This window comes from Homo sapiens, chromosome 14 (assembly GCF_000001405.40).
Source record: "Homo sapiens chromosome 14, GRCh38.p14 Primary Assembly".
NCBI classification, from domain to species: domain Eukaryota; kingdom Metazoa; phylum Chordata; class Mammalia; order Primates; family Hominidae; genus Homo; species Homo sapiens.
This window is the reverse complement of record NC_000014.9, coordinates 100,369,490-100,386,756: the sequence shown is the minus strand read 5'-3', so window position 1 is coordinate 100,386,756 and position 17,267 is coordinate 100,369,490. Positions and strand designations below refer to the sequence as shown.

General features: G+C 48.7%; 2 protein-coding genes across 22 annotated transcripts in view, besides 7 other annotated features; one reads left to right on the top strand and one right to left on the bottom strand.

The window, feature by feature from the left end:
- Window positions 1–10,272, bottom strand: part of WDR25 (WD repeat domain 25) — a 153,819-nt gene extending 143,547 nt beyond the window's left edge. The window contains exons 1-2 of one of the 6 annotated variants that reach the window (NM_001350947.2): window positions 9,948–10,272; window positions 5,011–5,847 (exon numbers count right to left, since the gene is read on the bottom strand). In NM_001350947.2, the coding sequence (NP_001337876.1) occupies window positions 5,011–5,832 (822 nt within the window). In that variant the 5' untranslated portion in view covers window positions 5,833–5,847; window positions 9,948–10,272. The remainder of the gene's footprint in view (window positions 1–5,010; window positions 5,848–9,947) is intronic. The other 5 variants (NM_024515.6, NM_001350948.2, NM_001161476.3 and 2 more) reach the window with 5 other exon arrangements.
- Window positions 3,257–3,766: an enhancer, noted in NCBI's record as "H3K4me1 hESC enhancer chr14:100849328-100849837 (GRCh37/hg19 assembly coordinates)". NCBI's record gives its function as "activates a minimal SCP1, AML or CMV promoter by ChIP-STARR-seq in primed H9 embryonic stem cells {active_cell/tissue: H9 hESC(primed)}" and the evidence as "EXISTENCE:reporter gene assay evidence [ECO:0000049][PMID:30033119]".
- Window positions 3,993–4,953: an enhancer, noted in NCBI's record as "H3K4me1 hESC enhancer chr14:100848141-100849101 (GRCh37/hg19 assembly coordinates)". NCBI's record gives its function as "activates a minimal SCP1, AML or CMV promoter by ChIP-STARR-seq in naive H9 embryonic stem cells {active_cell/tissue: H9 hESC(naive)}" and the evidence as "EXISTENCE:reporter gene assay evidence [ECO:0000049][PMID:30033119]".
- Window positions 10,139–10,188: a silencer, noted in NCBI's record as "silent region_6091". NCBI's record gives its function as "represses an Ori minimal core promoter by ATAC-STARR-seq in GM12878 lymphoblastoid cells {active_cell/tissue: GM12878}" and the evidence as "EXISTENCE:reporter gene assay evidence [ECO:0000049][PMID:35858748]".
- Window positions 10,379–10,438: a silencer, noted in NCBI's record as "silent region_6090". NCBI's record gives its function as "represses an Ori minimal core promoter by ATAC-STARR-seq in GM12878 lymphoblastoid cells {active_cell/tissue: GM12878}" and the evidence as "EXISTENCE:reporter gene assay evidence [ECO:0000049][PMID:35858748]".
- WARS1 (tryptophanyl-tRNA synthetase 1) overlaps window positions 10,430–17,267 on the top strand; it is a 42,538-nt gene continuing 35,700 nt past the window's right edge. For 2 of the 16 annotated variants that reach the window (XM_047431765.1, XM_047431764.1), the window contains exons 1-2: window positions 10,430–10,595; window positions 12,608–12,621. In XM_047431765.1, coding sequence (XP_047287721.1) covers window positions 10,550–10,595; window positions 12,608–12,621 — 60 coding nt within the window. In that variant the 5' untranslated portion in view covers window positions 10,430–10,549. Of the gene's footprint in view, window positions 10,596–11,210; window positions 11,247–11,350; window positions 11,475–12,491; window positions 12,622–12,692; window positions 12,778–17,267 lie in introns of those variants that run through there. The other 14 variants (XM_011537136.4, XM_047431760.1, NM_213645.2 and 11 more) reach the window with 11 other exon arrangements.
- Window positions 10,949–11,308: an enhancer, noted in NCBI's record as "active region_9040". NCBI's record gives its function as "activates an Ori minimal core promoter by ATAC-STARR-seq in GM12878 lymphoblastoid cells {active_cell/tissue: GM12878}" and the evidence as "EXISTENCE:reporter gene assay evidence [ECO:0000049][PMID:35858748]".
- Window positions 11,319–11,458: an enhancer, noted in NCBI's record as "active region_9039". NCBI's record gives its function as "activates an Ori minimal core promoter by ATAC-STARR-seq in GM12878 lymphoblastoid cells {active_cell/tissue: GM12878}" and the evidence as "EXISTENCE:reporter gene assay evidence [ECO:0000049][PMID:35858748]".
- Window positions 14,581–15,497: an enhancer, noted in NCBI's record as "OCT4-NANOG-H3K27ac-H3K4me1 hESC enhancer chr14:100837597-100838513 (GRCh37/hg19 assembly coordinates)". NCBI's record gives its function as "activates a minimal SCP1, AML or CMV promoter by ChIP-STARR-seq in naive H9 embryonic stem cells {active_cell/tissue: H9 hESC(naive)}" and the evidence as "EXISTENCE:reporter gene assay evidence [ECO:0000049][PMID:30033119]".

The window sequence follows — 17,267 nt, the reverse complement described above, 5'->3', positions numbered from 1 at the left end:
CGCGCCCGGCTAATTTTTTGTATTTTTAGTAGAGACGGGGTTTCACCATGTTAGCCAAGATGGTCTCAATCTCCTGACCTCGTGATCCGCCTGCCTCGGCCTCCCAAAGTGCTGGGATTACAGGCATGAGCCACCGCGCCTGGCCTCAAAGCCCATCTTAACTGCATTAAGGCAGCAAAAAAAGACAATATTTATGTATAGCCATATTCACTGTAATACTGATTATTTTTTAAACAAAAGCAGGAAATTATAGGAAACAACATGGAAATGATGGAGCAAAGTATGAAACTTGAGACAGTTATAAAAATATATTTGGGGAAAAGTTTTTAATAAGGTAGAAAAATTCCCCTTACACGTTACAGAAGATTGGGCAGCAGAGGAAGAATTCAAAACTGCACATACTATGCAATAAGCCCAATTATGTAAACAGATAGGAATGTAGGGCCCCCGACCAGGGAGGCCCCTCATGTTAATGAGGCACTGACTTGGGGTTGGGAGTTATCAATGATTTCTGTTTCTCCTTCATACTTCATATTTCCTGCATCATTAAAGTTTTTCACAATAAGCATCTATTACATTCATGGTCAAAAATTAAAAGGTTTTTTTTCAAAGTATTTTAAGGAAGCTTGTTACTGAAAGAATTTCTAGAGCAAATTATTCTGTAAAGCAAATAAACAACATCTAATTCATATATTTTCTTTAAAAACCTTCTGTGTTTCAGAACTGCAGGTTTTCATACAGGTACAGAAGGTCCCTGGTGGGTCTTCTGTCACCCACCCAAAGGTCTTATTCCTTTGGGACTCCCTCTCAGTGCCTGGCAGAGGGTTCTGTACATGGGAGCATTCAATAACGGCTGGTTGTGTTTTTGGTTAACGCAGGCCACGTACATGTTTTCCTTCAAAAAAAGGCATCAAAGTCTGAATTTCTACCTTTACGTGCAGTGGGTGTTCAAACACGTTAAGCCAAAAGAGTTCACTGGGAGATGAAAAGAGTATATAAAAGGGTATCCGTGCTGGGATCACAGCTATGAAAAAAACAAGCACGTTCACAGACAAGGGGAGGAAGGGATCGTCAGGAAAGAGCAGCGGTGCAGAATTATGAGTCATTGTTTTATTTTACTTAATTTCTCTAGCTGTAAATTTTTCAAAACTAATAAAAGCATATTTTACAGCTCACAGAACATTTAGAACATATTAAAATAAGTATCTTTCCACTGTAATGTGTCCAGTTGAAATGTATGAATTCCGAAGCTACGTTTTAAGGATATGAAGGAACTGGCACTCCATGTTCTTTAGATTAATAAGTTGGACTGTGTTGTTTTTCTCCTGATCAGAAAGAAATCATTTTTCAGTAAATGTTACCTTGAATCAAGGATTCTTCCACATTCTAGAAGCTTGGATGAGCTGCTTATATTAAGTCTTACTGTGCACCCTAGTGGCGAATATGATTTATCCACTCAAAAGACAATCCCTTCCCAAAGGCTTGCGATAAAATCCAAAAAATTTGTTTTAATTTTTATCGATCACTTAACATGTACACAATTTTGTGCCAGATGCTGGGGAATATAAAAATGGGTTCTGGCTCAGGAAGCTTAAAGTCTAGTAGGTGAAGCTGATATGCTTCCATGGCTACTTACGTAAAATAAGACATGAGCACAAGTCAAGGAAAGGAGGAAATTCTTGGGGAAAAGCAGGAACTCGAGCACACACTAAGTGCCTGCTATGTGCCAGGCATTGCACTTGGTGATTCACAACTAATATCGTTTACTTTTCACAAAAACCCAGCGAGGCATGTTTAATTCTCTCCACTTTATAGATACTCAAATGAAGGCTCAGAAGTGAGGTAACTTGCCAGAGACCACGCAACCAAGGGGCTGGCCGTAGAGGAAGGACCCAAGCAGGTCTTGTCACCCAGCCCCCAAGCTCTTCCCTCCTTCCTGATCCAGCAGGGGCCCAGAAGACACTGGCAGATTTTAACCAAAAGGCAGGGGGAAAGCACCCTGGGAAGGGTGTACTGCTGCACCCGCCTCTTTGAGCTCATTCCATGCTGCACCCACCATTTCCTCTCCTCCAGGGACTGGGCTGCAGCCAGCCAGGACTCCTGCCTGTGCCCGAGGCCCTATCCCCACTCCAGACCCACCACCCACACCCACACACTGCCTTCCCCAGATCACCAGGTCCCCAAGATCTGCCATGCTGCCCCACCTCTGACACCAAGGAGGGAAAAGAACACCATGTGCCTCCCAGCCAGGCCACGCACAAACCTGGTGGCCCAGCAAGCCTGAGGCCTCAGCCGGGACTTCTGGCCACAGCTCCTGCCTGGCTCCCCGCCGGTTCCCAATCTGTCTTCCCATCCTGGCTCCTCCAGCCCCTGCCATACACTCTTCACACTGAAAAGTTGTTCAAAGTCAATTTGCCCAAAACCAATTTGCCAAATAACCCCATCACTGAAAACTGACAAATATCTTAAAACAGAGAGGGCCCTGGCCCACCATTTGTATCTATGGCTTATAAAAGCCCTAATGTTCACGACACCACAGTAAAAAAAGAGGGTCAGGAGATGCCAACCCTAGCAGCCATGCTGACCCTGGCCCAACCTCATGACAGCAAATGTGCTCTGCCCTGGGAAGGAACCCAGGGTGCACAGTGCAGTGGGTGGGGCTCCCCAGAAGCTGCCTGGCAGCCCAAGGGGCCCATGCCAGTGTCATCACCTGCAGCACACACAGTCTCCTCGGGACAGGCGGGCACAGCTGCGGCGCCTGGCCCCACCCAGGGCAGCCCCACAGACCCGGACCCAGGTCTCTGAATCGCCCAGGAGCAGGGCATTCCTACCACAGTCCCTCAGTCTGAGCCACCCTCACTGCCATTCCAAGCTGGGCCCACTGCGCCCTCTTCTGGTCATGAGGTGTCACAGTTAGTTGGCTGCTCACAGTTTCCCCTCCATGGGGGCAGAAACGTCTCTCCCCCCACGTCCCCAGTGGCACCGTGCCTGGCACATTTGTCTACTCCACAAGGCCAGAAATCAATGCCTCTACTCAGGTGCTCTCTGCTCAAAAACTACCATGGGGATGCTTCTGTTTAGGAAATCTAAATTTCCCAGGCAAAAGTGACCCAAGCTGCCACTCTGCCAGCAGGGCCCAGGGAGCACTTCACGCCACCAGGCGAAGGCCAGTCCCACAGGGCCCCAGGTCTGCCCCTCACCATCAGGAGAGAGAACTCCAGAGGTGAGCGGGCAGGTAAAAGAAGGCCTCAACAGGAAGGTGAGCACAGGGAGGACAAGGGCCACCACTTGAACTCCAGGGCCAGTCAGACACTGCCCAGGCCCACCAGCAACCCTCCAGATGGGCTTCCCATCCTCCAGCCCTTGCAGCGCAGACTTGGGAAGGAGAGCAGAGAAGCCCCGGGGCCACAGGATCAATCCCAGCATGCTGTGATCCACGCCAGGGATGCCAGAAGCCTCCGCGCACACTTCACAGCCCCCGGAATGGCAGGAAAAGCACCAAAGACCTAAGTGGAAAATCCTGGAACTCCAGGCTGAAGAGAGAATATGACGTTCTCTCCCACAGGACTCTGAGTCTTGCTAGAAAAGAGCACAGACAAGCCACTTCAGGACTCCAGTTCGCCACTTAAAAATGCCACCCATCAATTCAGCTCATTTCAAAGACATCTCTATACTTGGAGCTTCCTTTCTTCACTTAAGAAAATGTTTCCGAGGGAGAAAAGCTCAAAATGTAATTTGCAAGAGAAAAGATGTAGGAAAGTTGGTTCCAGAACTCTGAGGAAACAAGGGCAAGGGAACCACCATTTACTGAGCGCCTATGAGGTACCTGGCTCTGTGCAAGGCACTTTTTCAGCATTTTTCTCACATGAGCACATGACCCAGGTATGATTTTGCCCTTTTACAAATGAGACACTAGACTCCACAGGAAGGCAGCCGGCCAGTGGTCGACCAGCTAGCTACTCTGCAGCAAAGCTGGATGTGAAGCCAGGTCCCTTGAAGTTATTTCCTTTCCAAGAGCTTTCTGTTCAGCTAGCATTTAGTTGGCACCCGCTACATATCAGGTGCTTTGCTAGCTGCGAGGAGAGAGAGGAGGGATGCAGTGCACAGCTCGAAGGGCTGGAGACAGGTCCCAGGTGGGCACAACGACCTATCACACTGTACCTCCATACTGGGGGACTACATTACTATCACTTCAGTAGCCTGTAAAATAAATAAGACAATGCAAAAAAGAGTTTCCATGTAAAACCAGAAGTCCCCAGAAGGGCACGTGCAACCTTCCCTGACCTTGCTTCCCCAGCCTCAAGTCCCTCACCCACACATGCTTGAAGCCAGCTCCCAGGCCCTCATGCTTGGAGCCAACACATACACAGGGCTCCTGCAGCCAAGCACGCCCTTCTGCCCCCATCCCCAAGCGAACCTTCCCCTTCCTCAGGAGGCCTTCACTGAGCCCTGCCGGGCTGGGCTGGTAACCCTCCCGTTGGGCTCCCAGAGCACCTGTGTGTCCTACTGGGGGCCGTCCTCACAGCTCAGGGTTGAGTCTGTGTACTTGTCCACGGCTCCCGCCTCACTGTGCAAGCCCTGACACCAGGGGCTGGGTCTACCTACCTCTCCCAACAGCCCTTGAAACCAGCACAGCACCAGGCACAGAGCTGGCATGGCTCAATGCTCCACAGGGTCACCGAGGATGTCCCCAGTCCCCAGGGCTTGGTCCTGGGCCTGCTTTTCTTCTCCCACTAATCACTCTCACCTCCTCCCTCACGGCCTCCGAGAGGGATAAGAAACAGTATCCTCTGGTAACCTGAGCAAGGCAGCATCAGGGAAGGGTTGGGGCAGAAGGAACCCACAACCCGGAGCTGACCACAGATGACCCTTTCTGGAATGCAACAAAGGGAATTACAGAAATCTGCACACAAAAAAAAGTTCAGCCTGTAACCTCCCTCCACTTCACTATTATTCCAGCAGTGTATTCCTAAGAGCATCTGAAAGCAGAAGTTTTCATTCAAGTCTTACCTTGAAAGTTTTATCCATAGAAGTGGAGAGAAGCATGTGGCTCTTAGAAAGGACTGGACACCACTGAATGGTGTTGACAGGGCCCCTGTGGCCTCTCAGGTGGAAAAGCACTTTCCGGGGAACTGTGGTTTCTTTATAATGGCTATTCAAATATGGCTGAATAAACTCAGACACTCCCGGGCCCACGTAGAGAGGGGCTGGGGCACGCCCTGCAGGGGGCCCCTGTGGCTCCACGTCTTTACCCTTGCCTGTCTCCGTGCTTAATGCCTGCCGCTGTCTTAGTCTTCTGGGAGTATAGGGTACCACACAGTCCTCACATTTTTTCTTCTGAAAAGAGCTGCCATTTTTACCTACGGTTTCAGACTCACTTTGAGCATGGAAAGATGACTTGGGAAAGTTCCTGGAGAGTTTTACTTGCTTAAAGCGGGCAGCTGCCAGGGGCATGTGGCTGGCTGGAACATGGCTCGTCCACAGAGAAGAACAAGAAGGCTCTTTGATGGGGAAGGTGACTTGAGGCTCCTTCCCGGGCCACTGTAGCCTCTGGCTGGGGCAAGATCCCCAATCGCTTCTCCCAAGCTGAGCCAATGGAAGGCGATAGCCCCCTGGGTCTTCACAGGAGCCATGCTTTGTGGGCTGTGCCCCTGCTTTGGGCACATCCAGTGTACCAGATGCAAAATCCTGCCCAGGTGGTCTGGCCACACCAGAAGTGTCTTTCTGCTGGCCGGTAGCATTAAAACTTCCTGCATGCTCTGTCTCAGCCTCCGAGTCCGAATCATCATACGCTACCAATGAAGCCATTAAAGACAGAGTTCTTGCTGTCATTCAAAGCCAAACCACCTAAGATCAAACAAGGTCAACCGTCAGAAAATGTGCATGGAAGAATATGTATGTAGTTATAAGAAACCATGTCACCTAGGAAATCCAATAACTCAACACTCATAAGAATAAACACAGGCCAGGCGTGGTGGCTCACGCCTGTAATCCCAGCACTTCAGGAGGCCGAGGTGGGTGGATAACCTGAGATCAGGAGTTCGAGACCAGCCTGGCCAACATGGTGAAACCCCGTCTCTACTAAAAATACAAAAAGTAGCGAGGCAGGGTGGCAGGCACCTGTAGTCCCAGCTACTCGGGAGGCTGAGGCAGGAGATCGCTTGAACCTGGGAGGCGGAGGTTGCAGTGAGCAGAAATTGTGCCACTGCACTCCAGCCTGGTCAACAAGAGCGAGACTCTGACTCAAAAAAAAAAAAGAAAGAAAAAGAATAAATACAAAAACAAAAAAGGCTTTTCTACATATCAGGCCCAATTAGTTAGAAGATAAAATTTTTGAAATTGAAACTATGGAATAGCTGGGGGTAAATCTGTAAAAAATAAGCAAGACCTACATGAAGACTTATAGTAAGTCTGGGTGCAGTGGTTCACACCTGTAATCCCAGCATTCTGGGAGGCTGAGGTGGGCGGATCACTTGAGGTGAGGAGTTCGAGACCAGCCTGGCCAACATAGTGACACCCCATCTCAAGTAAAAATACAAAAATTAGCCAGGCCTGGTGGCACACAACTGTAATCCCAGCTACTTGGGAGGCTGAGGCAGGAGAATCTCTTGAACCCAGGAGGTGGAGGTTGCAATGACCTGAGATTGCACCACTGCACTCCAGCCTGGGTGCCAGAGGGAGACTCCATCTCAAAAAGAGAAAAGAAAAGAAAAAAGCGCTGGGTGCAGTGGTTCATGCCTGTAATCCCAGCACTTTGGGAGGCCAAGGCGGGGGGAATCACAAGGTCAGGAGCTCAAGAGCAGCCTGGCCAACATAGTGAAACCCCATCTCTACTAAAAATACAAAAATTAGCCAGGCGTGGTGGCACGCACCTGTAGTCCCAGCTACTCGGGAGGCTGAAGCAGGAGAATCACTTGAACCCAGGAGGCGGAAGTTGCAGTGAACCGAGATTGTGCCACTGCACTCCAGACTGGGTGACAGAGTGAGACTCTGTCTCAAAAAAGTAAAATTAAAAAAAAAAAAGGAAAGAAAACTAAAACTTTTATTGAAGGACATAAAAGAAGACCTAGGCTGGGCGTGATGGCTCACACCTGAAATCCCAGCACTTTGGGAGGCCAAGGTTGGTGGATCACCTGAGGTCAGGAGTTCAAGACTAGTCTGACCAATATGGCAAAGCCCCGTCTCTACTAAAAATACAAAAATTAGCCGGACATGGTGGCAGGCGCCTGTAGTCCCAGCTACTTGAGAGGCTGAGACAGAAGAATTGCTTGAACCCGGGAGGTGGAGGTTGCAGTGAGCTGAGATCATGCCACTGCACTCTAGCCTGAGTGACAGAGCAAGACTCCATCTCAAAAAAAAAAAAAAAGAAAAAAAAAGAAGACCTGAAGAGACAATGCCTACAGAGAAAGAGACAGGACTTTAAAAATGCCTTTGGAAGGTCCATTTTGGTCATATGTGTTACAAGTTTAAACACATCATTTTCACCCCAGCAACCCCACTGTAGAACTTTATCCTACACAAATACTAGCATATGTTTGCTAGATGTATAAATCCATGAAGATAAATGTATAAAGAAAACCTGCCGCACTGCTTATTAGCAACAAGTGAGAACATATGCTCATCATCATGAACGAGGGTAGGTCTGAAAATACTGAAATCAAAAGACGTCCAGGATCCATGGTGGGAAAGGCCTGCCACTTTCCCCTGCACCCTTTCCCTGTGCTCCAGCCCTTCCCTCTTTTCTCTCTGCCTGGAACATTCTTTTTTTTTTTTTTTTTTTTTTTTTTTTTTTTTTTTTTGAGACGGAGTCTCGCTCTGTCGCCCAGGCTGGAGTGCAGTGGCGGGATCTCGGCTCACTGCAAGCTCCGCCTCCCGGGTTCACGCCATTCTCCTGCCTCAGCCTCCCAAGTAGCTGGGACTACAGGCGCCCGCCACTACGCCCGGCTAATTTTTTGTATTTTTAGTAGAGACGGGGTTTCACCGTTTTAGCCGGGATGGTCTCGATCTCCTGACCTCGTGATCCGCCCGCCTCGGCCTCCCAAAGTGCTGGGATTACAGGCGTGAGCCACCGCGCCCGGCCTGCCTGGAACATTCTTCCCCCAGGTATCCCATCTCTGTAGCAGCCAGCTGGACAGACAGGCCCACAGCACAAGGCTAAGGTCCTGAGGTGTCCGTCTACCCAAGTGTGCAGGGAGCAATTCTGAGGGCATGATCCAAATCCACCCATTTCACTCCCAACACACAGATTCACACTGCAATGAATTTCTACTTGTTAAAAAAAATCTTTCTGGGCAGGGCATAGTGGCTCATGCCTGTAATCCCAGCACTTTGGGAGGCCGAGGTGGGCGGATCACCTGAGGTCGAGTTCGAGACCAGCCTGGCCAACATGGTGAAACCCTGTCTCTACTAAAATACAAAAATTAGCCGGGCGTGGTGGCACACGCCTGTAATCCCAGCTACTCGGGAGGCTGAGGCAGGAGAATCATTTAAACCCAGGAGGCAGAGGTTGCAGTGAGCCAAGATCGCGCCATTGCACCCCAGCCTGGGCGACAAGAGTGAAACTTCGTCTCAAAAAAAAAAAAAATCTTTCTGAAATTCTGAACCATCATACACAATACATGGTTATCAATTAGTTCCCAGAAAGAAGTGCTTTGGTAATTTTTTACTTCTGTGCTGTTAGCACCAAGCACAATCCAGAGAAAAAGAAGGGTGCTAGGCACTCCTAGGACAGCAGAGGGCGCGGTGGAACAGCACAGAACGCTCAGGCAATAGACCGACTTCCAAGAAAACCCAGTGCACCCAACCTTAATCAAACACGCCAAGCTCCGCCTCCATCCCCCAACAGGTGGAGTCAGGTCAGCATCAACAGATTCCCTCCAAGTCCTTTTCTAAGTCATTCCAGACAGCCTATTACCCATCTCTTCTTCTAGACAATGGGTTTCTATGTCCCCTGGAATCAACCACCCAACCTCTTCCACACCTTTCCCCCAAGTGGCATCATTCGCCTGAGGGTTCCACTGGTCTACAAGTCAGGTCATCATTCCATAAATGTCTGTAGTCAGCCTCCTCTAGTAATGCCGCCCCCGTTCGCAGCCCATTCCAGGCAGGTAACAACTTCCACACGCAAAGCCAGAGTTTAAATAAAACGACCGGGCGCGGTGGCTCACGCCTGTAATCCTAGCACTGTAGGAGGCCGAGAAGGGCGGATTACCTGAGGTCGGGGGTTCAAGACCAGCCTGGCCAACATGGTGAAACCCCGTCTCTACTAAAAATACAAAAAAAAAAAAAATTTAGCCGTGTGCAGTGGTGCGCGCCTGTAATCCCAGCTACTCTGGAGGCTGAGGCCGCAGAATTGCTTGAACCCGGGAGGCGGAGGTTGCGGTGAGTGGAGATCACGCCACTGCACTCCAGCCTGGGCTACAGAGCGAGACTTGGTCTCAAAAAACAACAACAACAACAACAACTTCTAAAGCCAGCCAGCCAGCTCATCTCCAATGGAACTAATATAATATGAAAGACTAATTATAAACTAATGGAACCGTGCACTGCAAATAATTTGGCATTTCTGTTCTCTAAATGCTAAGCCTGGTCCCGAGGCCACTCTCAACTCCTCTGCCCAGGCACCACCCACCATGCACCCAGATTCCCACCACCAGGGTGCCCGTGCTCCCTCTGGAAGGAGATGAGGGATTAAACGAAGAGGAACAGACAGTAAGATGGAAGGGAAGGCAGGGACACTGGAGAAGAGTCTAAGGAAGGAGCGAGTGACTCTGACAGTCACTATCAGCAAGTCAGCCCCATGAGGACAGGACTTTCTGTGTTTTGTTCACTATTCAATGCCCAGCGTCTAAAAATATTTCTGGAATGCAAACGGGTGGGAGGGGGAGATGCTAGGAAGTAAAAGAAATAGGATATTCCCATTCAACAAACATTTCCTGATTACGTACTCTTTGTCAAGCCCTATGCTGGGTCTGGTGTGGGTGGAAATCAAACACAAAACACAGATCCCCCCGGAGGCCCCAGAGCGATGAAAGCAACAAACAAGATACGACCAGAGATGGGTTTTGAAGGATGAATAGGAGTTAGCTGAGCTGTCAATAGTAAGAAGTAAGGTTGGTCCAAGGCACAGCGCTTTCTGAAGGAACAGGAAGTGAAAGGAAGGCGAGCGGCTATGAGAGACCGCGTTAAGCGGCACGGGGCGCTTTAGGCGCTGCCCAGTCCCGGCCCCTCCAGCCCGGGGCCCGCCGCTCACCACACGCACCGGAAGCGCTCGGTTCTCCCGGAGGCAGACCGGCCAGCACACTACCATCCAGTCACGTTCCGACGCGACGCCGCGGCCGCCAGCCAATCAGTGGCGGCCTCTGCCCCGCCCCCGCGCGAACAGCCAATGACGGCGCCGTCGGGCCGGAAGTTGTTCCGTCCGGACGGCGTTTCCACGGACGCCCAGGAGACAGCCGGTTGCTGAGCCGGGAGCGCTGACTGGCCCGGCTGGGCAGGGTAAGCGAGGGGAGTAAGGCCGGGGCGGAGTGAGGAAACAAGGGAGGGAGTGATGGAGGGACGCTGGCGCGGCGCCCAGTGGCCTGGCCCTCCCGGGAGTATCCTTAGAGCCCGGCTTGCTGCCCGCCGCGTTCTGGCACTGTGAGGCGCGGAGCCTGCCACCGACCCCTCGCCCCTTTCCTCTGAGCGCCGCCGACCCACCCCGTCTCCCTTTCCCACTGGCACCCTTCATCGTCTCCGCCTGTTCGCTTTTCCCGAGGAGAGAGGCCCCCATTTTTATTTAGCGCCTGCCATGTGCCAGAGGCTTTGCGTAGTGTTGCACTTAGTCCCCTCAACGGTAATGTTAGCAGGCTTCTCCATGCCCATTCCACAGATGAGGAAACCGAAGGGGAAGCAGAAAAGTAATGCGACCCTTGCCCAAGGTTTCGAATAAGTCCAAGCTGGGATTGAAACCCAGGCGTCTGTGACCCCAGAACTCCTGATCTTTCCACTGCACTGTGCCGCCTCGGTGAACAGATGCGGGGAATTTACAGTTTCTCTTTCCACCGCCCACGACTACACAAAATCAGTCACACTGACGCTGAGGGTGGGGAACGGGAAGAGGGTGGGGAGGTTATTTGGAGGCCAGCGGGGGGTGAGGGGTGGCTGATGCAATGACCAGCTAATGGCTCGATTCTCAAGAGGGTTTCATTGGTCTCAACCTGGCCCCCCAGGCAACCCACCCCTGATTGGACAGTCTCATCAAGAAGGTTGGTCAAGAGCTCAAGTGTTTCTGAGAATCTGGGTGATTTATAAGAAACCCTTAGCTGAATGCAGGGTGGGGAGAACGAAAGACAAAAGCATCTTTTTTCAGAAGGGAAACTGAAAGAAAGAGGGGAAGAGTATTAAAGACCATTTCTGGCTGGGCAGGGCACTCTCAGCAGCTCAACTGCCCAGCGTGACCAGTGGCCACCTCTGCAGTGTCTTCCACAACCTGGGTATGTATTGCCATCTTTGCCAGGCTTAGAGCTTGTTCGTGTTTTTAGCAAAGTGCTGAAAACCTTGGTTTAGGGGGTCAGGACTTGTGTCTTAGGATTAGGGTGTTATGCATTTTACTTCTTCCATTGACCCAAAGTTCAGGTGATTCACTGCTCCCATAGGGAACAGAGATCCTGGCTGAGCAGTCGCGGGCTTGGATCCGTAGCTTGCCTCTCAGCACCGTCATGCTGTCTGTCATAATTTTCACTGATGCACCCTCCTTCTGTGCTCAACATCAGAACGTATTGTCATTCTTATTGTGACACCCAAAAGTGTCTCGTGCCTGGCTTCATAGAAATTAATGTCTTTGCCTTTTAAGATAATGTTCATGCTGTTATTTGGCGGGGAAAGCAATCTTTCTTTTAGTGTTTAAAAAAAATGGAACATGATGGGTCCCAAAAGGTGTCAAGAAATCCTTGCTCTAAAGAAGTCATTTTCTTGTCCTCTGGGAACTTGCCAGTCCAAAGGTATTGTCACCTACACTCTGGGGCCAAGATAGAAAGGATGGTATTCTACCTCCTGGTGGTATTCCAGGGATCCAGAAACACTCCTGGGCCACATTCTCTTCTCACCTGCTCCAGAATTGGCTGTCTTGATGCCACCCTTCCCCAGATTGCAGAATCAGCGTGCCCTGATCTCTGTGAGATGATTTTGATGCAACCCAAGTCTTTATCATGTTGTTCTGTTAAACAATTCTATAGTCCTTTCCACTCCTCATCCCAATACAATACCCAGTTTCTTTAAGTGCCTATTATGCTCCTCCACCACAGTGGAAACTTTCAGAATGAGCACAAGATTCAAGTTCTTGAAAAGGGGGAACTGGGGGTTAATTTTCAAGAGGCTTTTTAGCTTTCTCCTTGAAGGTCTGCTGTGATCTGCTGTGGAGTAGGCAGTTTTGCTCTTTACACGCCCAGTACTTTTGTTTAGGGAAGATAATAGAGTACTTCACTGGTTATAACTGCATTTCTTTGTTTCAGAGTGTACTATTTGTTAAACAGGTGAATCTACTTCTCTTAACAAAGTCTCAATGTCCTATTTGCAATTTATGTGGTAAACACTGAAGACAATGGTCCTTAACCTTTTGGCATCTCAGCCTCCTTTCGAAAGGTAAGAAAGCCAGGAGACTGCTCAAAACCATGTACATACCAATGTACTTGCAAGCATTAATGTAATTTCAGATGTTCCTGAACTCCAAGTTGAAAAACCTCTGAAGTTCAACTCAATTCTGAAAGTCAACAAAGAAATAAAGGAGGATGTCAATAGGTAGGGGGAAGAAGAACATTTACACAGGAAATGGGGTAAACTCATAAATGCGTGAAATGAGGAAGATGGTAGTTCCATTCTCCTTGTCTCTGACCACACAGAAAGTTGCATCATACACACACACACACACACACACACACACACACACACACACAAGATTTCAATAGTGTGGATGATTCCCACGCAAAGTATATGCCTTGTGATCATGATCATCTGCTATTTCCTCAGTCTAATTTCATTCCCATGTGCTTCTTAAATGGAGTTCTGATATTTATAGACACATGTTTTTCCCTGCAACATGGACCCTAAATGCAAGTCCTGTTTATCTAGCTGATCCTCTAGCAAAGAAACAGTTATCTATTCTATTGCAGTGGGAGATTGGCTGTCCTGGGATCACTCAGGCATTCTACCTGGCACTTTCCCCTGGAATTTTTAAGGATAATTTTTATACTTGATTGACTTCAAAACCTTACTGCTGCTGCCTTGTTGCCTTCACGCGGGGCACCACATTTTTTGGAAGGACAGGGTAAACCAAAAGGAATTCCAAAAATAGTGACCAGGATGGTGGGCAGATGTTAGCAGAGGGTGAAGAAAACAGACTAAGGTTGGGAGACCTGGAGGAGACCCCAAGAGACCAGCCTGGCTCTCCTTAGATGTGGGAAAGCTCAACTCAGTACCAGGACGTTAAACAAGAGGCCATCTAAAGTCCAGCTGGGGGAATCAGTCTTCAACTGGAACAAGTAAAGACATTCTAAGGATAAACCTTAGAGGAAAAAGTTGAACTAGATGACTAAGGAGATTCATTCATTAGGTAAATATTTTTTGATAAGCTGTGTGCCAGGTACTAGAGGTACATGGAAGAATAAACCCAGGGCTTACCTTTGCTGTCTGCTGGGGAAGACATGAATAACTAAACTGCAGTGTGAGTGCTTTCATAAAGTTACTAAAGGAGTGTTTGGGGATCACAAAGGATGGAGCAACCAACTTGTTCCCAGAAGCATAGGTGTCAGGAGAGGCTGTGAAGAGCTGAGGTTCAAATTGGAAAGATAATCAATCAGCAGAGTTCAGGCAGAGAAGGGTGTGAGACATTTCAGGCAGGCAGGCAGGCAGGCAGCAGGGAGCAGCAGGGATTCTGAGAGAGCACATGAGCAAGGGGGCTTGGGAATCAGATTCTGGCTTAGCTACTCCCTGGTAATGGAGCCATCAGCCTCTTGTCTGCTATTGCAGGGCACATAGAGTAACACCCAGCTTTGAGAGTTGGGAGAATTCAGGATAGGTTTCTGGACATGATGATTGATGATTTGTGGCTAGAAGTAATTTTCATGAGTTTGATCGTTATTTGATATGGACAGAGACCTTAGAGAGAAATGGATTTCGACTGATTTGCTCAGCTTGTTGCTGGGGAGGGAATGGGAGAGCCTGAGAGTTCTCTCTAGCCCTAGGCAGAGGGTACTCCGGCATTCCTCCCTAAACTGGATGCTTTCTTATCTGAGTCAGTTATCTCACCAAACCTCCCTTTCTGGGAACTGAGGTGGTTCTCATCAAGGAGGAGAAAGAAACTGGCTGCTGTCCTGTCCCGGTTTTCAGTATTATAGTTTCATTGAATTAAATAAGTTTTGATTTACATACTTTTTTTTCAATTTTTGTTTTTTTATTTTATAAAAATTTTTTGGAGAGACAGGGTCTCACTATCCATGTTACCTTTCACTCGTGTCACTCGTGTCCGTGTGAAGAGACCACCAAACAGGGTTTGTGTGAGCAACAAGGTTGTTTATTTCACCTGGCTGCAGGCGGGCTGAGTCCAAAAAGAGAGTCATGGAAGGGAGATAGGAGTGGGGCCGTTTTATAGGATTTGGGTAGGTAAAGGAAAGTTATAGTCAAAGGGGATTGTTCTCTGGCGGGCAGGTGGCAGGGGTCACAAGGTGATCAGCAGGGGAGCTTTTGAGCCAGGATGAGCAAGGAGAAGGAATTTCACAAGGGAATGTCATCAGTTAAGGCAGGAACAGGCCATTTTCACTTCTTTTGTGAAGGAATGTCATCAGTTAAGGCCATCTGGATGTGTACGTGCCGGTCACAGGGGATATGGTGGCTTAGCTTGGGCTCAGAGACCTGACATTACCCAAGCTGCTCTTGAACTCCTGAGCTCAAGCAATCGCCTCTGCTTCCCAAAGCACTTGGACTGCAGTTGTGAGCCACCGCTCACAGCACCCGTGATTTACATACTTTTTGGAATTTTTTTTGTTTTGAGACAGAGTCTCTCTCTGTTGCCCAGGTTGGAGTGCAGTGGCATGGTCTCAGCTCACTGCAACCTCTGCCTCCCAGGTTCAAGTGATTCTCATGCCTCAGCCTCCCAAGTAGCTGGGACTACAGGTACATGCCACCATGCCTGGCTAATTTTTGTATTTTTAGTGAAGATGGGGTTTCACCATGTGGGCCAGGCTGGTCTTGATCCACCCTCCTTGGCCTCCCAAAGTGCTGGGATTACAGGCATGAGTCACCACACCTGGCCTACTTTTTTTTTTTTTTTTTTTTGAGACAGAACCTTTCTGTCACCCAGGCTGGGGTGCAGTGGTGTGATCTCAGCTCACTGAAACCTCCACCTCCTGGTTTCAAGCAATTCTCCCACCTCAGCCTCCCAGGTATTTGGAACTACAGGTGTGCGCCACCATGCCCAGCTAATTTTTCTCTATTTTTAGTTGAGACGGGGTTTCACCATGTTGGCCAGGCTGGTCTCAAACTCCTGACCTCAGGTGATCCACCCACCTCAGCCTCCCAAAGTGCTGGGATTATAGGCGTGAGCCACCACACCCAGCCAATTTACGTACTTTTAAAGCAAATATTTAACAAATGGATAGGATAGAGTAAAATAAATGACACCACAAATGTATATGTTTGGTTCATAAAGATAAGTCATTTGTAAGATAATGGTTGAAAGTGTAGGCTCTAGAGTCAAACTACTAGAGTCTATAACGCATCTCTGCCATTTCCTTGTGATGTTAACATGGGCAAGTTTTATTTTATTTTATTTTTATTTTTAGAGACAGGGTCTTACTCTGTCACCCGGGCTGGAGTACAGTGGCGCAAACGTAGCTCACTGAAGCCTCGAACTCCTGGGCTCAAGTGATCTTCCTGCTATAGCCTCCCAAGTAGCTGGGATTACAGGCCCACCACCATGCCCAGCTAATTTTTTTTTTTTTCATTTTTTTGTAGAGTCTCACTATACTGCCCAAAGTGCCAGGGTTGCAGGTATGAGCCACCATGCCCAGCCATGGGCAAGTTTTTTTTAACCCCTCTGTGCCTCATCTATAAAATGGAGATTACAAATCTATTTCATAGGACTGCTGCAAGGCTTAAGTGAATTGATACATATACGGTGCTTAGAACAATAACAGGTACAGAGGTGTTCAAAGTTAGCAGCTCAGGCACTAGCCTTGTCATTTTCCTTCTCCAAGGTTTTACAGCAAGTTAAAATGAAGCTGGAGTTCAGCCAATCTTTGGAATCCTAAGAAACACAAGAAATTTAATAACAGCACTCGTAACGTAGTTACATCTTGCTTTACAGTTTACAAAGTGCTACCATGCCTTTTTTTTCTCATTTTGTTCTCATAAGAGCCTGGGGTAGATGAAGTTCCTGGTGGCGCCATTTTATAGGTTAGGAAACTTGACTCTTAGGAAGTGATTGAGCCAAGAAAGGTTTGATGGCGATACAGTCTCTGTCTGCCATGTCCCCACTTCCTGCAAGGGTTATAATGAATCATGACTAATAGGAGGTGCAGACACACCTTCTGCAAAGGCTTGTAGTTAAATAAGGCAGCACGTGGAATGGACAGACTGGAGACAGTCCTTACCTCATGTGGAACCTAGGACAGGTAAGGCCCTGTCCTCCACCCCAGAGCTCACTTTGTCTGAGAGCAGCTGACCAGCAGTGGAAGACATTTGCTCAGCGATATATTAGTTATGGCTGCAAAAGCCCAAGAATTCATCCCCAAGGCAATTAAGATAAACCACAAATAGAGGATGGGTGCCTTGGCTCACACCTATAATCCCAACACTTTCGGGAGGCTGAAGTGAGAGGATCACCTGAGGTCAGAAGTTCAAGACCAGCCTGGCCAACATGGTGAAACCCTCCCTCTACTAAAAATACAAAAATTCGCTGGGCATGGTGGCAGGCAGCCTCAGGAGGCTGAGACAGAAGAATCGCTTGAACCCCAGAGGTGGAGGTTGCAGTGAGCCAAGATCACACCATTGCACTCCAGCCTGGGTGGCAGAGCGAGACTCCATCTCAAAAAAAAAAAAAATCAAATAGTAATTTGCCAAAAGTTTTTAGCAATGAACTTAAGTTCATTAAAACACATTGGTATTTATACCCTGAGCAAACAGGAGTCCTCCTGTGTTCTGGGCACTGGGTGGGGGCACAGGGGCATCACCAGATGCAAACTTGATCTTGACTAGGAGGGCCCCTCCTAGTCAAGTAGATTCACACCTTAAGT